Source organism: Homo sapiens, chromosome 2 (genome assembly GCF_000001405.40).
Source record: "Homo sapiens chromosome 2, GRCh38.p14 Primary Assembly".
NCBI lineage: Eukaryota > Metazoa > Chordata > Mammalia > Primates > Hominidae > Homo > Homo sapiens.
Window position 1 is genome coordinate 96,184,521 of NC_000002.12, and position 26,263 is coordinate 96,210,783.

Consider the following 26,263-nt stretch of genomic DNA (forward strand, 5'->3'; position numbering starts at 1 on the left):
TCAGGCCTGCTTCTGTCCCTCCTGATTTCTACCGTCTGCTAAGCTCTAGCACTGCTCCCTCCAAAGTGATCTTTTTTTAAAGGGAAAGGATATGGGTCAGTATATCAAGCTAGGGAAGTGGACATAGGTGGTTTATTTTCAGTTGCCAAGCAGGTCACTTGGAAAGGGCTCGTGGTCTAGGCAAACTGTGTCAGCCACTATCTACCAAGAATGAACAAGCCCTGCCACTTCCACCTCCCAACTCTCAGAGTAAAATTCTTTTCAACTTTGTGATCAGAAAGAAATGGTAAGTCCAATATGCAAGATTTTTCCACCACCATTTGTCCAAAGACAAACACTTTTTTTTGTACCAATCTTTATGTATTTATTCACACATTTGATAAAAATGTCACAGTTAGGAGTGAAATCATTACAATGACATGAGTAACTGTACAGACAGACCCCAAGTGCAGAATCAAATTGCCCTAAGTCAGAACATGGAGCAACCGCAACTCCTTCGCACTTGTGCATGTGTGTGCGCTCGCAGACGCACACACACACACACATATTCTCTCTCTCTCTTATGCACACATCCATCCACATCCCAACAATTGCAGGTGCTAAGTTTGGACATAACCCAGGGACTCTTCCCTGACTTCTGTCAGGTCCTGGAAAGAAGAAGTAATAAATGAAAAGCAGCTGGGACTGCTCGATGCATCTCTCCTCTTCCAACAATGACGCGGAGAAGGCAAGACATACACTGGGGCAGCTACTTCCTTGGCACAAAAATGAACAGGCAACAAGAAGGTCAAGGAAGTGTTTAAGTTAGTCTCAGGTTTAAACCACTTTTCAACACCACAAAACAGTAGCAAGCAGGAAAACAAAAACAAAAACAAAAACAAAAACTCTGGCCCTCAAGACTCCAGAAAAAAGGGAAGGAGGAGGATTTAAAACTTGATCCCTATTATTCTAACAAATTGCAGCATGACCATAAGCAAAACCAGCTCGGTCAAACTGACAGCATCAGATTGTGACCTTATCTGAACAGTGTAGTTCACTTTTATTTTGGCTCTGAAGAGAGGAAGAAAAACTTTTTAGAGGAACTTAATGGTAACATAAACCAAATCTCCACTGTATTAGTATTTGAGACAAGATTACATCTATGCATTCACACAGCTTGTCTGTAGATCTGAGAGCTCCAAGGGAGTGGCCCAGCCCCCATTCCTCTGACTTTAGCCTTCTGAAAAGAACAAGTCAAACCTGAAATATGAAAAATAATACCTGAATCAAAATGGTGTTTTCTATACAATCGGACTAGGGTAGAATCCTGCTCAATTCCTCAACTCCTATTTGACACAAAAGTTAAAAAATTTTTAAACTAAATTTAAATGTGATGTTTTGAGCATCAAAAAGCTACTATCTAAAAGGATTAGTCTCCCAGTGTTCTTGGTAAATGGGGAAGGTTAGGAAGGAGGCAATGATCCAATGAATATAGAAGAACTGGCCGATTCACAGGAAACTTGCTTTGGATAAGGTGAGTCAATGGGTGATATTGTGCAGGCAGGGAGGGAAATTTCTTTGTACAAATTCATGTCCCTGGCCAGGCATGGCCCAGGAGTTCAAGACCAGCCTGGGAAACAGAGTGAAACTCCATCTCTACTTAAAAAAAAAAAAAATTAATAATAACTTCATGTCTCTAGAGATAAAAGCAAGGTGCGGACAAGGCACTTAACATAGCCAAGTATCGTTCACACCCATTCACATCATGATTGTTACCAAGAGCACTCCCAGTAGCCCCTCATTTGAGAGACTCAACTGGCCAACTATACTTTCCAGGTGGACCTGGAGAACTGAAGGAAATCCAAAGCGCTGCACAATCGATGGTGGGATTTGGAATGTCAGCAGAGGAAACTACTCAGAGAAGCAAATGGAGGTCATCCCCTTCTGGCCTGAGGTGAGAGGTTTGTTCCAGATTAGCTCAGTGAGATACCGAATTTCAAAACAGTTGGCCTGAGAATATGACAACACTCCCACAAATGTAGCCTTCTTCTGTTTTGATAAGAGCAATAAGGGCTCTGAATGAAATGGGACATCAGTTATTGAATTATCTTGCACTGGAAGTTACAGCAGATGCCTTCTAATACATGTGGCATGTCCCCCTTCTACAGCAGAGTGATAACGGACTGAGACAGGGCTAGAAGCACCTTGTCCCTTCTTATCCCAAAGCCTGTCAAGCATACTCAATCCGAGCAGGGCCACAGCTGCCCTCGTTCTTTCGCTCAGAGGACTGGCTGGTGGCCTTGGCTTCACTACTCATTTCCAGAGGCTTAGCTGAGATGTAGTCCTTTACTTTAATCTCCATATTCTTGGCTTTCAGAGTGGCCATGTGCAGCTTCTCCAGGAAATCTGGCATGCCTGTCAGGAGACGAGAATCAGGTTAAGCTGACATACAAACCAACAGTAGGCTCAAAATGAGAAGACCCTATTTCTTTGATGGTAGGGAACTAGTTCTTCCTTATAAAGATCACAACCTGACTAGCCTGTGAATAAGAGCTGCCTCCCGGAATGTGTTCCCAAAGCATGGGTTGTGAAAACTCTGTCTCAGAAAAAAAAAAAAAAGAAGAACCAGAAGAGACGTTTTATTTCCCCATTAGGAAATAGAGAAAAACAAAATGCTCAACCCAGGTTCCAGGCCCTGTATACTTGCCCTTACTTACCACTGGAAACCATCCAACTAACACAGTAGCGAGGAAACACCGTTTGGGGATTGTCACTGTATGTTAGTAAGTAGTCAAAGCCATTCTGGAAAAGAAAAACAGCAAAAATGAAGATCCCTGAATCACCAACCACAACCTCCATATCCAGTACCATAGAATAACTATGATCTGATTCTGGAGCAGGGAGTGTCATTTCTTTTTTCACCCTGTGCAGAAAAGAGTTAACACTGAAGGCCTGAGAGACTACTATCTATAGAAAGGTCTCCTTGCAATGTTGACCCTTGGCCAACTTCGCTCCCAGTCAACAGTTAGCTGATATGGGTGGCTCCCTGTGCATAGACTATGCAAACAACGTGGTTTATGCTGAACACAGGCTTTGCTTTGCAGGGTTTGGAATTCTGGTATGTGCTAAGCAGACGGTACTAAGTGACCAGCTCCCAATAAAAATTTTGGGTGTTAGGCCAGGCATGGTGGCTCATGCCTACAATCCCAGCACTTTGGGAGGCCGAGGCAGGCGGATCACCTGAGGTCAAGAGTTCAAGACAAGCCTGGCCAACATGGTGAAACCCCATCTCTACCAAAAATACAAAAATTAACCGGCCATACTGGCACACACCTGTAGTCCCAGCTACTCGGGAGGCTGAGGCACAAGAATTGCTTGAACCCGGGAGGCAGAGGTTGCAGTGAGCCAAGATCTAGCCACTGCATTCCAGCCTGGGAAACAGAGCGAGACTCCGTCTCAAAAAATAAATAAATAAATAAATAAATTGGGTGTTGGCTGGGCGTGGTGGCTCATGCCTTATAATCCCAGCACTTTGGGAGCCCAAGGCAGGCAGATTACTTGAGGACCAGAGTTCGAGACCAGCCTGGCCAACATGGTGAAATCCCATCTCTACTGAAAGTTAAAAAATTAGCTGGGCGTGGTGGTACACGCCTGTAATCCCAGTTACTTGGGAGTCTGAGGCAGGAGAATCGTTTGAACCGGGAGGCAGAGGTTGCAGTGAGCACAGATTGAGCCACTGTACTCCAGCCTGGGTGACAGACCAAGACTTTTTTTTTTTTTTTTTTTTTTTTTTGAGACAGAGTTTCGTTCTTGTTGCCCAGGATGGAGGGCAATGGCACAATCTCGGCTCACCACAACCTCCACCTCCTGAGTTCAAGTGATTCTCCTGCCTCAGCCTCCCCAGTAGCTGAGATTACAGGCATGCACCACCATGCCCAGCTAATTTTGTATTTTCAGTAGAAACGGGGCTTCTCCATCTTGGTCAGGCTGGTCTCGAACTCCCGACCTCAAGTGATCCACCCACCTTGGCCTCCCAAAGTGCTGGGATTACAAGCGTGTGCCACTGCACCCAGCCAAGACTCCGTCTTTAAAAAACACTTTGGGCTGGGTGTGGTGGCTCACGTCTGTAATCTCAGCACTTTGGGAGGCTGAGGCAGATGGATCACCTGAGGTCAGGAGTTTGAGACCACCCTGGCCAACATGGCAAAACCCTGTCTCTACTGAAAATACAAAGAAAAAAAAAAACTAGCCAGGTGTGGTGGCACACACCAGTAATCCCAGCTACTCGGGAGGCTGAGGCAAGAGAACTGCTTGAACCCGGGAGGCGGAGGTTGCAGTGAGCCAAGATCACGCCATCGCACTCCAGCCTGGGCAACAAGAGCGAAACTCATCTCAGAAAAACAAAACAAAACAAACAAAAACAAAAAAACAAAAAAAACACTTTGGGTGTTTTTTTTTTCTTTTTTTTGAGACAAGGTCTCACTCTGTTGCACAGTCTGGAGTGCAGTGATGCAATCTCGACTCAGTACAGCCTCCACCTCCTGGGCTCAAGCAGTCATCCCACCTCAACCTCCTGTGTAGCAGGGACTACAGGCATGCACTACCACCACAACTAATTTTTTATTTTTTGCAGAGACTGGGTCTTCCCTGTGTTGCCCAGGCTGATCTCAAACTCCTTGGCTAAAGAGATCCTCCTGCCTCAGCCTCCCAAAGTGCTGCGATTACAGGCATGAGCTACCGTGCTCAGCCAGAGTGTTAAATTTCTAATGGCCTTCCTAAACAGAAACATTGCACACATATTGCTACATTTCATTGCTGGGGAAGGAAGCTTCACATGGACTCCTCCAGACTCCTCCTGTGCCTTTTTCTCTTATGATCCAGCTGCATATCTTTACTCTGACACTGTCATAAATCTTAGCTGGGGGCTGGGCACGGTGGCTCATGCCTGTAATCCCAGCACTCAGAAAGGCCGAGGCGGGCGGATCACTTGAAGTCAGGAGTTCGAGACCAGCCTGGCCAACATGGTGAAGCCCTGTCTCTAATAAAAATACAAAAATTAGCTAGGCGTGGTGGTGCACATCTGTAATCCCAGCTACTTGGGAGGCTGAAGCAGGAGAATTGCTTGAACCTGGCAGGTGGAGGTTGCAAGTGAGCCAAGATCGCACCACTGCACTCCAGCCTGCACAACAGAACGAGACTCCGTCTCCAAAAAAAAAAAAAAAAAATCAATATTTTGTACACAGTATGCACATCCTGAAGACAAAAAGACCACAAAATTTTATTCTTCGTATTATTGGTGATCTTACTGTATTGTTATTCTGAGGCTGTGTATTTCAACAAATTAGTAGTTGTGTTAGGGTTCCTGGGAATTGAGTTCTACAGTACAGGGAAAGACAAAAGATAGAAGATAGAAATAAAAACTCCATAGTCCTGAATTTGAATTAAAAGTATTAGTATATACTTAGGATTTATTTTATCTTAAAAATAAACATACCAGTAAAATGTATTACTTGGTTCTGTCTTCTGAAAAGGCCTACAAACAATAAACGACCCAATAGCTATGAATATTCTTAGCAGCCAAATTGTGGTATTTAAATGCCATTTTCCACTAAAAGGAACCAGGACTCCCTAAAGAAATGTTAATTTCCAGGTGTAAAACTAAAAATATACAAGATGAACCTACAACATCTTGTAACACCAGAAAGCAAGACAGCTTCTGGGGTCATGTCAAAGGGGCTTGAGCCAACAAGAAGACTCCCAATGACCAAAACTGGAATCAATTTGAGCATCAATAAGGATAATATATTTAAAAACTAAGTACATTTAAGTCTGTGTCTTTTTTTTTTTTTTTTTTTGAGACGAGTCTCACTGTGTCGCCCACGCTGGGGTGCAGCGGCACGATCTTGGCTCACTGCAACCTCTGCCTCCCAGGTTCAAGCCATTCTCTCCTGCCTCAGCCTCCCAAGTGGCTGGGATTACAGACACGTGCCACAATGCCTGGATAATTTTTGTACTTTTAGTAGAGACAGGGTTTCACCATGTTGGCCAGGCTGGTCTCAAAATCCTGACCTCAAGTTATCTACATGCCTCGGCCTCCCAAAGTGCTGGGATTACAGGCGTGAGCCACTGCGCCTGGCTTTTTTATTTTTTATTTTTTTTTTGAGAAGGGTCTCAAACTGTTGCCCAGGCTGGCATGCAGTGGCACAAACACGGCTTAATGCAGCCTTGACCTCCTGGACTCAAGTGATTCTCCCAACCTCAGCTTCCCAAGCAGCTGGGACTACAGGCACATATCACCATGCCTGGCTAATTTTTATTTTTTGTAGAGACCGGGTCTCTCCATGCTGCCTGGCCCAGAGCTGTTTTACAAATTTCTTACTTGGGCTGGGCACAGTGGCTCACGCCTCTAATCCCAGCATTTTGGGAGGCTGAGGTGGGAGGATTGCTTGAGTCCAGGAGTTTGAGACCAGCCTGCGCAGCATGGTGAGACCCCATCTCTACAAAAAATACAAAAAATTAGCCTGACATGTTGGCACACGCCTATAATCCCAGCTCCTCAGGAGGCTGAGGCAGGAGGATCACCTGAGCCCAGGAAGTCAAGGCTGCAGTGAGTTGTGATTGTACCACTGCACACTAGCCTGGGTAACAGTGGGAGACCCTGTTTCCAAAAAAACCCAAAATCCTTATTTGAGATAAATACTGAAATATATAATAGAAGAACTGGGTTCTCCTACAGTAAAGCTAGAATTTGCTTCAAAATAATCAGGGGAGTGAGAAAGGAAATGGGAAAGGGTATAGATAAAACAATTTTGGCCATAAGTTGATAACTGGAGCTGGGGATGGATACAGGGGGTTCATTATACTCTTCTACTTCTGTATCTTTTGTATCTATTTCAAATTTTCCATGATAAAAACCCCCTACCTTGGCTCAAAGATCTAATTCCCATTTGGCAAATCCAAACTCAGCTACATGGTTTTCGAGTACCCTCTGTACACAGTCAATGCAATTTATCACTTCTCCCTAACCTCTACTTTCCTCTCTAAGCATGTGAGTCTCTCAGTGCATACCTGGCTCATTCCTATCTTTGTCTTTGCTTGAATCATGTCTTCTAACCCTAGTGCCCTGCCTGCTTTCCTCTCTATCCAGTGTACTTTTTTTTTTGTTTTTTTTTACAAGGACCAACTCAAGTCCTTGAGGTGGTATAAATAAAACAACTTGATGAGAATAAGAAAACTACACTAAAGAACACTGTCCATATAGCCCTAAATCGAACACAAGCAATAGGGAGAAACAAAGCCATTATAAGGTGAAGTGGAACTAAAACCAGCAGCCACTAGCATCAATATCTATACTCTCAGTGGAGATTTAGCTTAAAAAGATAAAAAATAAACACAAAACACCTCATTAGGCTGAAATAAATATTCTTTTCAAAGAAAGGTCACAGAATTTTAAAGAAGGCAGACAGCATGAGTCCAATCTTCCCATTACTCTGGCAAGGAAGCAGAAATCCAGAAAAGTTTCCATCCAGTGCTCTGCCCACTGTAGTAAAATGTTGACAGGAGGTACTCGCTCTAGTTCCTGAAGAATGCTACTGATACAGGCTAATGCGTCAGTGGCTATGATTCTTTTAACTATCTCTCAGATAAGAGGGAACCAATGGATTGCCACTACTTTGTCCTTGGGGAACTTCCAGGTACATCACCTACGTCAGGAGTTCCCAAAAAATGGTTCCCAGACCAGTAGCATCAGACTCCCCCGAGCGAGAACTGTTCCTGCGCCACACCCCCTCCTCCCTAGTTCAGGTAAGACATCCCTTGAGAAAATTCCACAGCCATGACATGTTATCTCTTGGATGAGGTAAAACTCACCTCATCAAATGACTTGTGGGGACGGATAACCATTTGGGATTCATATGATCTGACCCTGACGAATTCTGGAGACTCTGGCACACTCGGATGCTCCACAGCACTGGTAAGGAGGAAAGGAGAAGCAAACTCTTAGTAATGTCTATATATAAAACAACAGGAGAGCTAAGTTAAGGGGAAGGCCTAAAAAGCTGGCTCTGATATTTTTAAATACACAAAACAAAGGAGTCACTAAGATGAATAAATACAAACTAAGTTCTAAAAATGAAGCGAAGGCCAGACGTGGTGGCTCATGCCTGTAATCCCAACACTGGGAAGCCAAGGAAGGAAGATCACTTGAGGCCAGGAGTCCAAGACCAGCCTGGACCACACTGTGAAACCCTGCGTCTACAACAAACAAATGAATTAATTAAAAATGAAGTGAGTTCCTTTGGTAATTTACGGCTCACTAGGCTGTGGGTCAAAAACAACAGCACTTCTTTTGATTACCAACATTAAAGAACCCAAAAAAACAGTTTAACTAAAAGCTTGTATCTCTCCATTCTTTCTAGACAGTCAGAGTCCCTCATCTTCTAGCTGGATGGAAGGGGCACTGGCTGCAGGGAAGCCTGTGGGAGACTCATAGGACACTAAGAATATACAAACTCAGGTACGTAGGAATGAAGGCCACAGCTAAAGGAACTCGGCAACAGCCACAGGCAGCCATACATACCGCGACACCAACACCATCATGTTGTTTTCCTGATCCACACTATACCGCCGAACATAAACATAATCCCGTGAGTACATTGGATACTAAAGAAATGGAGGAGCAGGATTAGTGTTCTGCATCACACAAACCTGGACAGAAATAAAATCAGAAGTAAAAATACTCACAGGAAAATGGGTTACCCAGTGAAGAACCTCGGAACCACTAACCACATCCCTCTCAATCACCTCCAGCTTGATTACCAGGGCATCCCATTTTTTTCTATACTCTGTGTCCAGCTGCAGAAAGAGAAAAGACCATGAATACCCAAGAAGACCCAAAACAAAAATGCAGAAAGCTTTCCAGATGCTTTGGTCTCTGATCCAAGAATCTTATTACAAGGAGAGAGTAATCTGACCTAACAGACAGTGCCAGAGTGTGAGAGACATGGCTGTGTTTACTACAGATGTTTCTTTCAAAATCACCTTATACAGGCTAATGTCATTACACTGAATGTGAATCTTCATTAGACAAACCAAGGAAAAGTGTAACAAAATATTTTAATAGACACATCTGGGGAAAATAATATATAGTGATATGAATGTGTAAGGGTAAGACAATTCTAAAAAGTTTTAAACAACAAAAAGTCCAAAAGTATTAAGTAGACACTTCACACACAAAAATGCAAGCAGCATATTTTTTTAAATTTCTGGCATCACTAGTAACTGAAGATTTTCAACTTAAGACAGATATACCATATACATAAAACCAACAAAAATTCACTACAAATTAACAAGATCCAGTACCTCAGGGAAAGTGCACTTGCACGTTAGAGTGAGTGTTATAACCAACGAAGTAGTTATCGGAAGTCAGCAAAACAAATGAAAAATCCAGAAAGAAAAAAATTTTGTTCTAGAACTCTGGGCGATCCCACCTCCCTGTTTCATTTTTTAAACCATCTTCCCCTACAAGGAGGAAAGCAGTCTTTGAACAGATACTCTTCATCTTTATGAAATAAACATTGGGCCAACACAGTGACTCACACCTGTAATCCCGGCACTTTGGGAGGCAAAGGCAGGAGGATCACTAGAGCCCAGGGAGTTCAAGACCAGCCTAGGAGACATAGGGAGACCCTGTCTCTAAGAAAAAAAAATTTTAATTAGCCAAGTGTGGTGGCGCATGCCTGTAGGCCTGGAAGCTGAGGTGGGAGGATCACTTGAGTCCAGGAAACAAAGGCTGCAGCAAGACATGATCACACCACTGTACTCCAGCCTGGGTAACACAGCAGGACCCTGTCTCAGGGAGAGGAAAGAAAAAAAAAAACCCTCCACTATGGAAATGTTCTTGATTTGAGGTTAAACAGATGTGACAACTAAATATAATCCTATCTGTACTGAAGTGGAAAATGCTATAAAGGACATTGAGTCAACTGATAAAACTGATAAATACAAACAGAGGACTACATGAAAGTGTTCCATCAGTGTTAAATTTACTAATTTCAATAATGGTATCATGATTAGTTAAGAAATACGGCATATGGCTAGTTTTAGGAAATACACACTGGAAGAATTTAGGAGTAAAGGACTATGATGTATGTAACTTACTCTTAAGTTGTTTGGGGAAAAAAACAATAAAGCCTCATAAAATACATTAAAGTATTCATATCCATTCCTCTATCTGATATTCCCAACAGTCCTGTGGGAGGGTAAAACTGATCTCATCCCCATGGGACAGATAAAGAAATTCTAAGTCAAATGTTTACCTAAATGCTATGCAATGTGGATGACAGGTAGATAGATGGATGTACTTAAGCCAATGTCACCTGAGTCAGATAAATGATTCATGTAGACAGTAGCAATTGATATGCTAGGAGGCTCCAAATCTGGAGAGAAAAATTAACTCACCTGAACATTGAAGAACTGCCGAGGTGTCACATCTGTGTAGGTTCCAAAAACTAGAATGAAAAGAAAGAATAAGGGATGCTGGCCATACTCCAGTCACTCGCCTTGTTTCTTTCACCTAGCGGCGTTTCAGATCTAAAGTACTAAGAGATCTTAAAGGCAGGTTCAGAAACTAGAAGTCTTAGTAGAGCAACAAAGAAAGACAAAGAGGATGTAAGCAAAGACAACACTGAGACATTTGTCATCTGGGAGAAGAAAAACAATAAACAAAAAACTACGGCAAATTTTCTGAGAAACAACCAGAACAGTTTAGAGAAGTATGAAGAACAGAAATCCCATGCACCTGTGCAACTATGGAACCCAAAAGATAGCCACACTGGGCTCACCTCGGTACTGGTAAAGGTGGGTGCCTGTAATTGGGCGCCGCCACAGCTTAAAGTGTTTCTTATCCATCACCATTTCCCAACGTTGCTCTTTGCCCTCTGAATCTTCATTCCCTTCTGTTTGGGCTTTTGGTTCTGGAGGGTGGTGCTGGACTCCAGAGCTCTGAAACATATTTGACATTTCTTCCAACCGCTTCATCTCATTAATAGATCTGTAAAGGGGAAAAAGAGCCATGGTGAGGTGGTTAGTCAGCCCTGTGAAATGAAGTGTCCACACAAAGGTCTGTGCAAGAAGGTTATACAGTAAACCACAGTATGTAGTATATAAACAGGACACAGTATAGTCAATAAAAACTGAGTTCCTGAGTTTGAATCTTAGTCCAACACTCACTAACTAGATTATTATTTAACCAGTTCCTATTTCTAAATCTATAAAATGGAAATAATAATAGTACCTATCTCGAGGTTGGCTATAAAGATTACAAAGTGTCAAGTGCTGCAGGGCGTGGTGGCTCACGACTGTAATCTCAACACTGGGAGGCAGAAGAGGGTGGATCACGAGGTCAGGAGCTCAAAACCAGCCTGATCAACATGGTGAAACCCTGTCTCTACTACAAACACAAAAATTAACCGGGCATGGTGGCGCGCAACTGTAATCCCAGCTACTCAGGAGGCTGAGGCAGGAGAATGACTTGAACCTGGGAGGCAGAGGTTGCAGTAAGCCGAGATCACGCCACTGCACTCTAGCCTGGGCGACAGAGTGAGACTCTTGTCTCAAAAAAAAAAAAAAAACAAAAAACAAAAAACAACGAAAAAAAAGTAAGTGTCAAGTGCTTAATATCTATGGCCAGGCACAGAGGCTCACTCCTGTAGTCCCAGCACTTTGGGAGGCCAAGGCAGGAGGACTCCTTGAGGCCAGGTTCAAGACTAACCTGGGAAACACAGTGAGACCCTACCTCTAAGAAAAAATTTAAAAAATTAGCCAGGCATAGTGGCACATGCCTGTACTCCAAGCTATAGGCTGAGATGGGAACATCACTTGAGCCCAGGAGTTGGAGGCTGTAGTGAGCTACAATTCTGCCACTGTACTCCAGTCTGGGCAATACAGTAAGACTCTGTCTCTTTTTTTTGTTTGTTTTTTTGAAACAGAGTCTCACTCTGTCACCCAGGCTAGAATAGAGTGCCATGATCTGGGCTCACTGCAACTTCCGCCTCCTGGGTTCAAGTATTTCTCCTGCCTCAGCCTCCCCAGTAGCTGGGACTACAGGCACGCGCTATCATGCCCGGCTGATTTTTTGTATTTTTAGCAGAGACAGGGTTTCACCGTGTTACCCAGGACGGTCTCAATCTCCTGACCTCATGATCTGCCCGCCTCGGCCTCCCAAAGTTCTGGGATTACAGGCGTAAACCACCGTGCCCAGCTACACTGTCTCTTAAAAAATAAAATAGGCTAGGCGCAGTGGCTCACGCCTGTAATCCCAATACTTTGGGAGGCTGAGGCAGGCGATCACCTGAGGTCAGGAGTTTGAGACCAGCCTAACCAACGTGGAGAAACCCTGTCTCTACTAAAAATACAAAATTAGCTGGGCACGGTGGCACATACCTGTAATCCCAGCTACTCGGGAGACTGAGGCAAGAGAATCGCTTGAACACGGGAGGCGGAGGTTGCAGGGAGCCAAGATCGTGCCATTGCACTCTAGCCTGGGCAACAAGAGCGAAACTCCGTCTCAAAATAAAATAAAATAAAATAAAATAAAATAAAATAAAATAAAATAAAATAAAATAAAGCCAAGCACAACGGCTCACGCCTGTAATCCCAGACTTTGGGAGGCCGAGGTGGGCGGATCACCTGAGGTCAGGAGTTCGAGACCGGCCTGGGAAACATGGTGAAACTCCATCTCTACTAAAAATACAAAAATTAGCTGGGCATGGTGGTGGACGCCTGTAATCCCAGCTACTCGGGAGGCTGAGGCAGAAGAATCACTTGAACCCAGGAGGCTGAGGGTGCAGTGAGCCAAGATCGCACCATTGCACTCCAGCCTGGGCAACAGAGTGAGACTCCATCTCTAAAATAAATAAAAAATAAAATAAAATAAAGTGTTTGTTATCTGGCACGTAAGTAGCCCTCAAATGTTAACTATGAAGGTTTATGGTTTTAAAATGTCAATTGATATCTTTTGTCCGTTTTTTATTGGGTTGTCTTATTATAAGTATGTATGTATTTTTCCCCTTTGTTTTTAAATTGATAAATTCACATACCATAAGATTCATTCTTTTACAGTGTACAATTCTGTACTTGTTAGTATATTCACAAGGTTGTGCAACCATCACCCCTAATTCCAGAACATTTTTATCACCCCCAAAAGAAACCTCTATCTATCATTAGTCACTTCCCATTCCTGCCTCCTCCCAGTCCTAGGCAGCCACTAATCTACTTTCTGTCTCTATGGAGTTGCCAATTCTGGACATTTCAAGTAAATGGAATCATATGATATGTAGCTTTTGTGTTGAGCTTCTTTCACTTAGCATACTTTCAAGTTCAACCATGCTGTACTTTATTCCTTTTTATAGCTGAATAATATTCCATTGTATGGATAGATCGCATTTTGTTTATCCATTCATCAAATAAAATTTGTTTCCACTATTTTATTATAGTGCTATTATAATAGCACTATATTATATTACTGCTATTATAATACTGCTGGCCGGACGTAGTGACTCATGCCTATAATCCTAGCACTTCGGGAGGCCAAGGTGGGTGGATCACTCTGAGGTTGAGTTCGAGACCCAGCCTGGCCAACATGGCAAAACCCCATTTCTACTAAAAATACAAAAATTAGCCAGGTGTGATGGCAGGAGCCTGGAATCCCAACTACTTGGGAGGCTGAGACAGGAGAATTGCTTGAACCCAGGAGGTGGAGGTTGCAGTGAGCCAAGATTGCACCACTTCACTCCAGCCTGGGCGAAAAGACAAAACTGTCTCAAAAAAAAAAAAAAGAATACTGCTATGGACATTTGTGTACAAATCTTCATATAGACATGTTTTCAATTCTCTTGGGTAGATTCCTAGGAGCAGATTTGATGGATCATGGTAACTATGCTTAACTTTTTAAGCAACTGCCAAAATGTTTTCCAAACAATTACACTATTTTATATTCACATCAGCAATGTTTGAGGATTCTAACTGCTCCACATCCTTGGTTCCAATTGCCCCACTTGTTATTGTCCATCTTTGTTATTCCAGCCAACTTAGTGGGTGTGAAATGGTATCTCATTGCGTCTTGACTGGTATTTCCCTAACCTTTTCATGTGCTTATACTAGTCTTGATAGTATCCTTTCATGCATAAAAGTTTTTAATTTTGATGTTTATTTTTTCTTTGATTGCTTGTTTTTGGTGTTATAGCCAAGAAACCACTGCCTAATCCAAGGTCATAAGAACTTATGCCTATATTTTCTTCTAAGAGTTTTAGAATTTTAGCTTACATTAGGTCTTTACCCCATTTCAAGTTAATGTTTGTGTATGATAATGAGGTAGGAGTCTAAACTCATTCTTTTGCATCTGCTTCTCCAGGTGACCCAGTGTCATTTGTCGAAAAGCCTATTCCTTCCCCAGTGAACTATCCTGGCATCCTTGTTGAAAACTGACCAAAAATGTAAAGGTTTATTTCTAGACTCTCAATTTTATTCTAACAATCTAGATGTCTATCCTTATGCCAGTACCACAATGTCATTACTGTAGCTTTGTAATAAGTTTTGAAATTGGGAACAGTGAGTCCTCCAAACTTTGTTCTCTTTTTTCAAGACTGTTTTTGCTATTCTGAGTTCCTTTCATTTCCATATGACTATCAGAAGTGGCTTGCCAATTTCTGCAGAACTGCCTAGGATTTTGATAAAGACTACACTGAATTTGTAGATCACTTTAAGTGGTATTGCCATCTTAGCAATATTAAGTGTTCTAATCTAATCCATGAACACGGGATGTCTTTCACTTATGTCTTTTTAAATTTCTTCCAATGATGTTTTGTTGTTTTTAGTGTTACAGTTTTAGTTGTACACTTGTTAATTTATTCGTATGTATTTATTCCTTTTATGCTACTGTAAATGAAATTGTTAATTTTATTTTCAGATTCATTGTTAGTGTACATAAACATGACTTCCGTGTATTGATCTTGTATCCTGCAAACTTGATGAACTCATTTATCAGCTCTAATTGCTTTCTGTAGATTCCTTACTATTTTCTAAATATAAGATCATGTCAGCTGCAAATAGAGATAGTTTTATTTCTTCTTTCCAATCTAAATGACTTTCATTTCCTTATGTTGCCTGATTTCATTGGTTATGACCTCCAGTACAATGTTGAACAGAAATGGTGAGAGCAGAATCCTCATCTTGTTCCTGATCTTAGGAGAAAAGCACTAAGTCTTTTGCCATTAACTACACTGTTAGCTATGTTTTTTGTAGATGCCTTTTATCAGCTGCAAGAAATTTCCTTCTATTCCCAGTCTGCTGAGTGTTTTCTTTTTTAATCACAAAAGGAGGCTGGAATTTGTCAAATACTTTTTGTGTTTATTCAGATGATCACGCAGTTTTTGTCCTTTTTTCTATTAATATGGTGTAATAAATTGATTTTTGTATGAAGAACCGACCTTGCCGTTCCTTAAATAAATCCTACTTTTCATGGCATATAATCCATTTCATATATTGCTGAGTTCAGTTTGTTAGTATTTTGTTCAGGACTGCGAAAAGTTGTGTGGTTTTTTTTTGTTTGTTCTGAGCCCAGGCTAGAGTGCAGTGGCATAATCACAGCTCACTACAGCCTTAACTCCCCAAGCTCAGGTGATTCTCCCACTTCAGCTTCCCAAGTAGCTGGGACTACAGACAAGCACCACCACATGCAGCTAATTTGTTTTCTGTATTTTTAGTAGAGATGGGGTTGCACCATGTTGCCCAGGCTGGTGTTGAACTCCTGGCCTCAAGTGATCCACTAGCCTGGGCCTCCCAAAGTGCTGGGATTCCAGGCGGGACTCACCGGCTGCAAAAAGTTTTAAAACATGAAAAACACCACCATATATTGTACTATGTATCACTATGTATCATTCAGGGGTATATACATATGTATAAAAACATAGGGAATTATATACAACAAATTGGGATAATGGTGACATCTTGGGGAAAAATAAGAATACAACTGGAAAAAGGTACAGAGGAACCCTAAGTATACTTGTAATATCTTATTTCTTAACATAGCTGTACTTGCAACGCTCGTGTTATTATTTAAACCTTTTTTATATATCTGAAACATTTTATAATAATAATTTTTTAAAACTTGGCTTGTATTTTTCCCATAACCTCTTCTTTTTTGAGACAAAGTCTCACTATGTCGCCGAAACTGGCCTCAAATTCCTGGGCTTAAGAGATCCTTTCACTTCAGCCTCCCAAGTAGCTGGCACAATAGGCGTGTGCTACCATACCCAGCTTCTCCGTGCCCTCCACCTCACCCTACCCCCTGCAACATTTAAAGAAAGGTTACAGATAAGAAACAAAAATTGCTGGCTGGCTGTCTTATACACTCTATTGCAATTCAAGACTGAAGAAGACCCAAATTACTGCTACACTGTCTGAAATGCCTTTTCACCCTTCAAGCTTCAAAAAACCACAAAGGTAACTGCTAGGCAGAGTTAACCATACACACTGATTTTTATTCCTTTACACAGGCATATTACACTATAATTAATCTATCTTTATATCTGCTTTCCTTACTAAACTATAAATTCCTTAATAGCCCAGAATCAGTCTTTTTCATATTTGTAGTTCCAGCTCCTAGCATGTCCTGGTAAACATTACATGTCCTGGTAAACATTACATACATTACATGAATAAATTTAGTAAATCAAGAAATAATAAAATGAAAATAGGCCTCAGTAATCCAAATTTTTATTAAAAGATTGCATTAAGGCCTGGGGCAGTGGTTCACGCCTATAATCCTCAGCATTTTGGGAGGCTAAGGTGAGCAGATCACTTGAGCCCAGGACTTCAAGACCAGCCTGGGCAACATGCAAAACTCCACCTCTAAAAAAAAAAAAAAAAAATTACACAACAAATAGCTGGGCGTAGTGGCATGCAGCTGTAGTCCCAGCTACTGAGGAGGCAGAGGTGGGAGAATCACCTGAGCCCTGGAGGTCGGGACTGTAGCGAGCCAAAATCATGCCACTGCACTCCAGCCTGGCAACAGAGTAAGACTCTTAAAAAAAAAAAAAAATTGGCCAGGTGCAACGGCTCACACCTGTAATCCCAGCACTACAAAAAAAAATTAGCCAGGCATGGTGGCCTGCGCCTGTAATCCCAGCTACTCAGCAGGCTGAGGCACAAGAATCTGTTGAACCCAGGAGATGGAGGTTGCAGTGAGTTGAGATCGTGCCACTGCACTCCAGCCTGGGTGAGAGTGAAACTGTCTCAAAAATATATATATATTGCATTAATATATTGCTGCAAAAGCCAAAAATTCAAAGGTATAGTGTCAATCCAAGATTAAAAGTTTAGAGCAATTCAAAATAATGGTAAGTCTAAAGATTTGTGTTCTAGTCCTGGCTCTACAGCTGACCAGCTGTGTGATCTTATTTTATTTTACCTTTAAAGTGAGGACGTTATTTCTTGAAGTCCTATTAGTTCTAAAATTGAATTTGCTGAATTTTAAGCTTTGGACTTGGATGAAAATATTTATATAGGGGAATATTTGTCATTTTGACTGCCTGAAATCCCTTTCTATTTGGAAAGAACCCAAATAGGTGAATGCAGCCCCCCTCCCGCCCACAAGCAGTTAAAGCACAGCTCCTAATTTAAGTGAGGTTAGAGACTTCTAGAAGGGGCTTTGCATCTTGAAGATAACACAAAGGCACAGGATCTTGAGGGAGCTGGGAGTCCAGGAGTACAACCAATCTGGGGGAAAGAATGCCAGCAACACTGCTCTAAGTAGATTATTCCTGCTGCAGGTCTTGGTCAACCTGTACCCTGGCCTTGTCAATACTGAGTGACCTAATACCGTTTTGATTAATTCCTTTTTGGCTTAAATTAACCAAGACCAGTTTCTTTGTTACAACCAAGAACCCTGACCAGCTGCAAAACCATAGAGAAACAGAGAAGGAACCTTAGGATAGGCATTTAGATGTTGCAGAAGAAGAGCAAAAGCAAAACCATAGCTAGATTTGCTCAGAGAACAATCAGGCACCATAGGGCATCGATTACAGCATTTTTGAGGTCTATAAAGCATCCTTCAACAATAACTAAGCACAACTCTTGAGTGTCATTCTTTAAAAAAAATTTTTTTCTTCATTGCCCAAGCTGGCCTCAAATTCCTGGGCTCAAGTGATCCTCCAGCCTCCCAAGTACAGGCACATGCCACAACACCTGGCCCGAATTATCATTCTTGCCACATAATAAAGGGGAGCATGTTTCCACTGGTGGAATGTCGTACTAAAACATCAGAGGCTCATAAAATAATTACATAGTTAATAAAGTTTTAAGAAAATTATTAACTATAGGCAACATTTTTTCATGACCTTCTAAGAATCAAGGTGGTTCAGAGCATCTGACCCACTGCTTAATCAAGCTCTCCTATATAATTAAAGGTTACTAGGTGGCTTTGACTAAAATTATGAAAAGGGACGGAAATGTCTTGTGGAGACACAGTATGAATGATAGAGCAAGACTGCTTCACGAAAATGTAAATGATCAAGTTATTTTTTCCCAAGGTTTAGGAATCCCTGAAGGGTCTGAACTTCTAAATGCTAACATGACAAGACCCAATTAACATACAGGAGCACAAAGTCATTCACTAACATATATGTGGAGAAAAGGAAAACCTCTCATGACACATCTCTTTAGGCTGCTGTGCCCAATCTTGTTTGGATGGGATGGGTGGCTAAACCTTCACATCTTAAGAGACTTAAGAGAGGACAGAAGGACAAAAGAGATTATTCCCAAAATAGTAAAATCAGCAGATTAGAAAAAGGATCAAGAAAAGAGAGACCATGCCTTTCTTTCTCCAAAACGAAAATCATTTCAATATCTGAAAAAGGCTGGACCGAAAGCTATAGAAACTGAAAGCAAACAAACCATGAAAACAAAGTAAGTGAAACAACATTTGGTTCATCTAGGGGTCCTGCCCTCAGCATGGAGCTTGGTGTAAGGCTCCAAAATTACTTAAATGAAACCATCCCTACAATTAGGAATTTCAGTCAGACAACAGCCTCACTTCACATAATTCTCCTCCTCTTCAAATTCCAAGTTATTGTCAAAGTCAGGTTCTACTGATACGGGACACACCTAGAAATAAAAGACATAGGAGTCAGGCGCAGTGGCTTATGCCTGTAATCCCAGCACTTTGGGAGGCCAAGGCAGGCGGATCACTTGAGATCAGGAGTTGGAGATCAGCCTGGCCAACACAGTGAAACCTTCTCTTCTAAAAATAAACACACAAAATTAGGTGGGCGTGGTGGGGCATGCCTGTAGTCCCAGCTACTTGAGAGGCTGAGGCAGGAGAACTGCTTGAAACCAGGAGGTGGATGCTTCAGTAAGCCCAGATCACACCGCTGCACTCCAGCCTAGGCAACAGAACAAGACTCCATACCCCCCAAAAAAAGACATAGAGCCAGGCGCCTGGCTCTCAGCACTTTGGAAGGCCAAGGCGTGAGGACTGTTTGAGGTCAGGAGCAGGAGTTCGAGACCAGCCTGGCCAACATGGTGAATCCCCGTCTCCACTAAAAATACAAAAATTAAACAGGCGTGGTGGCACCCCCGCTGTAGACCCAGCCACTGGCAAGGCTGAGGCACGAGAATAGCTGGAACCAGGGAGGCGGAGGCTGCGGTGAGGTGAGATCACACCACTGCACTCCAGCCTGGGCGACAGAGTGAGATTATGTCTTAAGAAAAAAAAGAGTCTGGGCGTGATGTCTCATGCCTGTAATCCCAACTCTTTGGGAGGCCGAGACAGGCGGATCACGAGGTCAAGAGCTGGAGACCAGCCTGTCCAACATGGTGAAACCCCATCTCTACTAAGGATACAAAAAATTAGCCGGGTGTGGTGGCAAGCACCTGTAATCCAGCTACTCAGTGGAGGCTGAGGCAGGAGAATCGCTTGAACCTGGGAGGCGGAGGTTGCAGTGAGCCGAGATCATGCCAATGCACTCCAGCCTGGGCGACAGGGTGAGACTCTGTCCCGGAAGGGGGCGGGAGGGAAGGGGAGGACAGGACAGGACAGGACATCAATTAGCTCATTGCAGTTCTAGGGCAACTAGTTAATGGTAAAATAATGAAGACAACCTCAAAAAATTGAGATCTAATTTTATGTAGCTCTGAAGATCTAACAAGGGGTTTAAGGGTTTACCAGTAAGATACCCTGAAGTGACAATGGCCAAAAAAAAAAAAAAAAGTTCCTTTAAGGCAAAAGGACTTTATGCGGATCATTTATCTAGTCAATAACACACTGAAGTTTAACATATCCCGAATGCCCTGAAAGACAGAAAAGAGAAAATGGCCAATTTTCTTTATGCAACTTTAATGGCACTTATTTACTCAAATTTCTGGAGCAATGAACTGTAACTTTTAAAAAACTATGAGGAGGTTAATGGAACATTTTCCCCTAGCCTTTCATTTCTTAACATCCTTCCTCTCTTTGTTCCTGTAACTTTTCTTTTTAACTGTTCCAAAGCAATCAAAAACATGACTACTGTATTTTTCCATTAGATTTGCCCTGGAATCACAGAATGCCAGCTAGCACCAAAAACAGCAATCCCAAGATATTTTCGTTGTTTAATTTAAGACAACTGGGTACTAGAGCAAGTATTAAAAGATCTGATTTCTACATCTGGCCACAGCAGCCAGTCAAAATCACTTCTCAAATTTTCTTGCTGTTGCTTGATTAATAAGACGCTATTTGGTAAGATGTTCTTAAGCACAAAAGACGAGAAGACAAGTTATGCTTTGTCATTCTGAATAGGACTCAAATAACATAAGGAAAACACATGCCACTTTAAGGCACACATTCAAAAAGACACCCTGCACATTCCACCCGCTTAACCAAAACAGCTATGTTAGAATTAGTTTGTGCCAGGACAAGTTGGTACAGAATCAGCACAGATGAGCCAAAGGCTGTGATTTAGGGGCCATGTGACAATCATGCTCTTTTTCCATTAACAATGAAAGAAATGCACTTGAGACACACTCCAACTGTGCTCCATTATGGAAGCTACCCAAAAATCATCTCACTAGAACAAACGAAATCCAAGATGTTCTAAGCTAGCTATGACAACCTCAGCAGTGCCTACTTTCAAGCAAATAGAATACTTAAACACAAAGCAAATAAGTTAATCTGTACCCAGAATATTTTAATAAAATATAAACATGACAAGCTATCAAAACAAAGACCTAAGGAACCACTGTGCAACCAAGATGTAGTTGTTGAATAGCATATTTGCCTTCCTATCACATTAACAAATATTTTAAAAAGAAAAAAAATCCTCAAGATGAACAACATGATCAAATTTTAATTACATGAAAAACCAAATTCAAGCATGAACCAAACAATGAAATGTTAAATGAGGGCCTTTACTATAACAACCCTAAGAAGGGTCAAAGTGCAGCTTGAAAGTGTTCTGGAGTTCATCTGAACTCCTGAAATTCCAAAGCTGGTTAACTCAGAGCAGTCCCTCTTGAGGAGTTGGAGTAGAACCAAGAGTATTTCAATTGCCTCCAGGTTTCAGGGACAGTCTGACCAGAGGCTCAGTCATGAACTGGTCTGATCTCTCTGCCATGATAAATACTGACTAACTCAAATGCTTACTATGTTCATTTCCTATCTTTTTTCCCCACTAACTCCCCACTAACTCTGTTTAGCACTGCTAAACAGAGGCTCCAGGATCTATTAATATCATCCATAAAAATGCATAAAATAAGCCAAAGAGTGTCATCTACTACGTAAGCCCCAACACTATTCAACTCCCACCCCCAAACTCTCCTTTCCTCTCTTTTGTACCCAGTAGCCCTTTTCCTGGTCTTTCTCCTCTTACCCCAACAATTCCAACTGGAGATTTTCCTCTCAAACTTAACTGTGGAACAAGGATATTTCATCATCAAAACTGAAAATTCAAAGTTAATGATAATTTTTCAACTTAAAAGTGGAACACGGCCGGGCGCGGTGGCTCACGCCTGTAATCCCAGCACTTTGGGAGGCCGAGGCGGGCGGATCACGAGGTCAGGAGATCGAGACCATCCTGGCTAACACGGTGAAACCCCGTCTCTACTAAAAATACAAAAAAATTAGCCGGGCGTGGTGGCGGGCGCCTGTAGTCCCAGCTACTCGGGAGGCTGAGGCAGGAGAATGGCGTGAACCCGGGAGGCGGAGCTTGCAGTGAGCCTAGATCGCGCCACTGCACTCCAGCCTGGGCGACAGAGCGAGACTCCGTCTCAAAAAAAAAAAAAAAAAAAAAAAAGTGGAACACGGACATTTCATCATCAAAAATGAAAATTAAAAGTTAATGATAATTTGTCAACTTAGAAGTTTTCTTCCTATTCTTTTATTTCCCACACCCAAGAGACTGTGATTATAACCAATGGCCAAGTAGCAAAAGAATACTAATAGGAACTAGGCAAAATACCTATCACGCTTTGATAGCTTAACTTTTTTGTGAATAAGGTTGTTTGTGGTTATTATTTTAAGTTGCATTTATAAAAGTTATCTTTCCTGCTAGGAAAAGTATTCCCAGTTCTTAAGATAGACTTGCATTTACCCACAATTCATAGTGTGGCACAAATAGCTGCCTGGCATCTGGGTGTTACACCTCCCACACAGGCCATGGTATAAACTTTATTGGGGTATTTCCATTTTTAACCTAACAAAAAATGTGGAATAACAGGTTGTTTCCCTGTGGAGGAAATATCAAGAATAAACAGGCGAGTGTGGAATCTGCGGAGGGAGGGGATTGTCTCTGGTTCCCGAAATCACGGCAAAGTACTTTCTGTGCAGGGAGGGCACAGTTTAAGAATATCTGTTGCAAAGAAAATACAGACACAAGGTAAACCAAAAACCAAAGCAAAGTTTCCCCATGACATTACCTGGAAACTACAGTCTCAGAACTACAGATTAACAAACGTAATCAATGGTACTGGGCTTTTCACAGTTTTGATGACGACAGCATGACTTCAGAGTCTAATGGGACACTATTCCCAAAGTTCTAGTTAACGTCGCAAAAATCTGACCTAATTCTTACAGGTTCAAATGTCTGGGCTGCTGGTTTGTGTAACCTGGACAAAATCGCTTCCAGGCTCTCAATTTTGCCACGAGTCACGATGACAGAGGGCTCTCCTGGCTTTTCTCACAGGCCTGAGTCCCATCTGGATTGAAGTCATTTTGCAAATAGCAGCCCACCACCCTTAGGCCAAATTTAAAATTTGTTTTGAATTTGCACCTTTCTGGTTGTGTTAAAGATTACAGATTACATGAACAAGGGCCTCCATGCCTTCGCTATCTAATTGATTTCTACAGTGTTGTTTCTTTACTGTCTTGCTCGCCCCACTCAAAGTCTCCCTCCTACACACCAGCCTACACACTTTCAGTTCTATTTTATAACCCGACAAATGCAAATTGACACACAGAGACAAATAACAACGCGGTTTGCTGAAGCAGGTTCAATCGACTGTATTGCCAATTAAAAGACCACCGGGTAAACAAGGGCCAACGACCACAGGGCAGGCCCCAGGGTTCACAAGCCCCCCCACCCCACGGCCCAGAAAGAGCTCGCCGCAGCGCCCACCTCTGCAACTCCTCCTCCTGGATCCTCTCCTCGTCCCAAACGAAGACGCCGGCTAACGCCGCCATCAAGGCAGAGGCATGGCCAGGACGGCCGTGCAGCCGGCGCCAGAGGCGGCCGAGGAGAACGCGGCGTGAGCTCTCGGAGTAGAGGCGGCCGTAGAGCTGCGCGATCTGCTGCGCGCGCCGCACGCGCAGGCCCGTGACGAAGCGGCACTGATTGGCCAGAAGCGCCAGCAGGCCCCCGCCCCGCGTCCCCGCCAGCCAGGCGGCCAGCAGCCTCCGCGGGAGCATGCCGCCTCCCGCAGGGCCCGCCGCGAGCTTCCGGGGCCCAAGGAACCAGTCCGGAGGGGCGCAGGCGGTGGTCGCAGCGTCCCCCTAAATGGCCGGCCACGAACCCGTCTCACGGTCCCGCGGCCAGGAGCCGCCGCTCATCTGTCTCTGCAGCCACCGCTGAGGAAGAGTCTCCTCTGAGGGGAGAGTCGGTCATGGCAGCAGACGCCGGGATGGCTCCGCGACTGCTACACCAGGCACTCCTGGGCCCGGGCAGCAGACCAGTCAGCCCTGTGGCTCCTCGGCGACCTCCAGCGGGCGCCCGGGGCCGGGATGCAGGGCGCGCGGACAGAAACGAGACAGACAGCTCAGGCCCAGCAGCACGCAAGCTCCCGCGCCTTCCGCGACTGCCACACGCGCGGCGCGCGCGCACCCTACTTTTTCTCCGCCACCTGGGCCGTGATTGGGCGCGACCTGGGCTCCTGGGTGCTCATTGGCGCCGTGAAGTGCTCGTCACCGCCCCCTCCTGCCCCTTCATGCATGCGCGGAGGCCGCCTGCTAGCAAGGTAGGTGGCTCGGCGGCGAGAGCCGTCAAGGGCGCATTGGAGAGTGACCCTCGGACCCGGCTGCCGCCGTCGCCGCCATCTTCCGGCCGTCCCAGCCCCGCCCCGCGGAGAAACCTGGCCAGGTTCCTGTTAGAATCCTGCCAGGTGTTAACTTGTTTTAAGAGGCCGGCACGCTGGCCCCCTTCTTTATTAGAGTGCAGGGTGGGGGCGGGGCTCCGCATGTCTCTGCGGGGGCTGGGGGCTCCCAGTGATAACCGCCATTGCAGAATTAAAACTGAGACAGTGAAAGAGATCTGACCTAACCAATTCCATCTTGCTTCTGTCCTTGTTCATTCCTGAGCTTAGGTGAACTAATTTTGGGAGGAACTTAGTTTATAGTTTAAAATAAAGAGGATAACAGCCCTTTCCCAAAACAAATCTTCTTATCTGGGAACTAGACTGCCTTTGTAGGACTAATAAGTTAGCCATAAGATTGGAAATTATGGTTTAGGAGTCATGCAGCTGGAGGCTACGATATTGTGATCCCCCTAAACTGCTCTTAAGATCAGTGCTTGAGATATTTTGCTGACCCCGCACTGGTTGGATCCTGGCACCACCCAGATGGATAAACTGGCTCATCTGACCTTGTGGCCCCCACCCAGGAACCAACTCAGTGCAAGAGGACAGCTTCAATTCCCTATTATTTCATCTCGACCCAACCAGTCAACACTCTGGACTCACTGGCCTTCCCCCACCCACCAAATTATCCTTAAACACTCTGATCCCGGAATGCTAAGGGAGACTGATTGAGTAATGTTGAAACAAACTCCAGTCTCATAGTGGGCTCTGCGTGAATTACTCTTTATTGCAGTTCCCCTGTCTTGATAAATCGGCTCTGTCTAGGCAGTGGGCAAGGTGAACCCATTGTACGGTTACAAATTTGGGGGTTCGTCTGGGATACCCCTTGTGGCTACCTGTCCATGGTTCGGTAGCCCCACCTCTGGTGACAGATCCAGAGGCCAGCCTAAGCGGCCACATAGTTCTCTTGGACTAGGGGCTAACTCTGGCACCGTCTCTGCCAGTGGGGCACTGCTAGCCCAATATGCATGGACTTAATCGCAATGGAGAAATAGTCCTGGGGAGACATCCCATAACTGTAGCCCTGTCACAGGGTATCTGTAGCTCCATAGCGGGGCGCTGTAGCCAGGTCATGGAGTGTCTGTAGCTATAGCCCCATCATGGGGTGGCAGGTTGCTGAGTATCCTAGGTGCTGCCAGTGCCTCCTTCCTTCTCCGGACTGATTCTGTAGCCACATGGTGGGTGTCTGTAGCTCCACCATGGGGTGTCTGTCTCAGTTTGGCTCCTGGGGCATCCCAGTTGGCTGTCCCTAACTAGGAAGAGTCTTGGTTCGGGAGACTTCTCAATCAGGAATATTTCAGGGAGATTTGTCAGATGGAGAATAGGAGGATAGTTTGGAAGGGGTACTCTTGGAGTTCTTGGTTAGGGACCTTAATTTGGAAGGCCTTCTGTCTGTCTTGTCTTCGTGTGTGTGTTTGTATATATGGAGGGGATCTCTGAAGGAATTGCTGATGAAAATCCAGCAGGCCTAACTTGGAGAACACTCCTTATTTATCTAGTCACATTCAGTGAGCCCTGAAAGAAGTTTAACAGGCCTGATTCAGGGTGACTGCTCAGAGACCACCCATTGAATTCACGATTCAATGACCCACCGTGCCTGGCCTTAAAAGGATTTTTTCTTAGAAAAAAGAGCTCTAGGCCGGGCATGGTGGCTCACACTTTTAATCCCAGCACTTTGGGAGGCCAA

The 26,263-nt window shown here is 43.7% G+C and overlaps 1 protein-coding gene and 1 long non-coding RNA gene across 3 annotated transcripts in view, besides 3 other annotated features; one reads left to right on the plus strand and one right to left on the minus strand.

Annotated features, from left to right (window-relative positions):
• Positions 1-338: 338 nt before the first annotated feature.
• Positions 339-24,307, minus strand: STARD7 (StAR related lipid transfer domain containing 7). Of its 2 annotated transcripts, none has more exons than NM_001385622.1 (8): positions 24,019-24,307; positions 10,821-11,029; positions 10,438-10,487; positions 8,722-8,832; positions 8,558-8,640; positions 7,849-7,948; positions 2,697-2,781; positions 339-2,394 (listed from the first exon to the last, which is right to left on the minus strand). In NM_001385622.1, exons 2-8 carry the CDS (start codon positions 11,014-11,016, stop codon positions 2,210-2,212), a joined length of 810 nt encoding a protein of 269 aa, NP_001372551.1. In that variant the 5' UTR covers positions 11,017-11,029; positions 24,019-24,307; the 3' UTR covers positions 339-2,209. The 2 variants fall into 2 exon arrangements, with proteins under 2 accessions (NP_001372551.1, NP_064536.2); NM_020151.4 differs by having other exon boundaries at positions 23,625-24,307.
• Positions 23,724-23,983: a silencer, noted in NCBI's record as "silent region_11757". NCBI's record gives its function as "represses an Ori minimal core promoter by ATAC-STARR-seq in GM12878 lymphoblastoid cells {active_cell/tissue: GM12878}" and the evidence as "EXISTENCE:reporter gene assay evidence [ECO:0000049][PMID:35858748]".
• The window catches only part of STARD7-AS1 (STARD7 antisense RNA 1), a 34,208-nt gene continuing 31,840 nt past the window's right edge, over positions 23,896-26,263 (plus strand). Inside the window, exon 1 of the long non-coding RNA NR_046322.1 lies at positions 23,896-24,459. This is a non-coding gene — a long non-coding RNA (STARD7 antisense RNA 1). The remainder of the gene's footprint in view (positions 24,460-26,263) is intronic.
• Positions 24,001-24,591: an enhancer, noted in NCBI's record as "NANOG-H3K27ac-H3K4me1 hESC enhancer chr2:96874259-96874849 (GRCh37/hg19 assembly coordinates)". NCBI's record gives its function as "activates a minimal SCP1, AML or CMV promoter by ChIP-STARR-seq in naive H9 embryonic stem cells {active_cell/tissue: H9 hESC(naive)}" and the evidence as "EXISTENCE:reporter gene assay evidence [ECO:0000049][PMID:30033119]".
• Positions 24,334-24,553: a silencer, noted in NCBI's record as "silent region_11758". NCBI's record gives its function as "represses an Ori minimal core promoter by ATAC-STARR-seq in GM12878 lymphoblastoid cells {active_cell/tissue: GM12878}" and the evidence as "EXISTENCE:reporter gene assay evidence [ECO:0000049][PMID:35858748]".

Coding starts and splice junctions, on each gene's coding strand:
- STARD7 (NM_020151.4), bottom strand. CDS start 23,914: ATGCTCCCGCGGAGGCTGCTGGCCGCCTGGCTGGCGGGGACGCGGGGC. Junction 8,833..10,437: donor GGCAGTTCTTCAATGTTCAG/GTGAGTTAATTT, acceptor CTCTTTCTGCAG/CTGGACACAGAGTATAGAAA. Junction 2,395..2,696: donor TAGTTGGATGGTTTCCAGTG/GTAAGTAAGGGC, acceptor GTCTCCTGACAG/GCATGCCAGATTTCCTGGAG.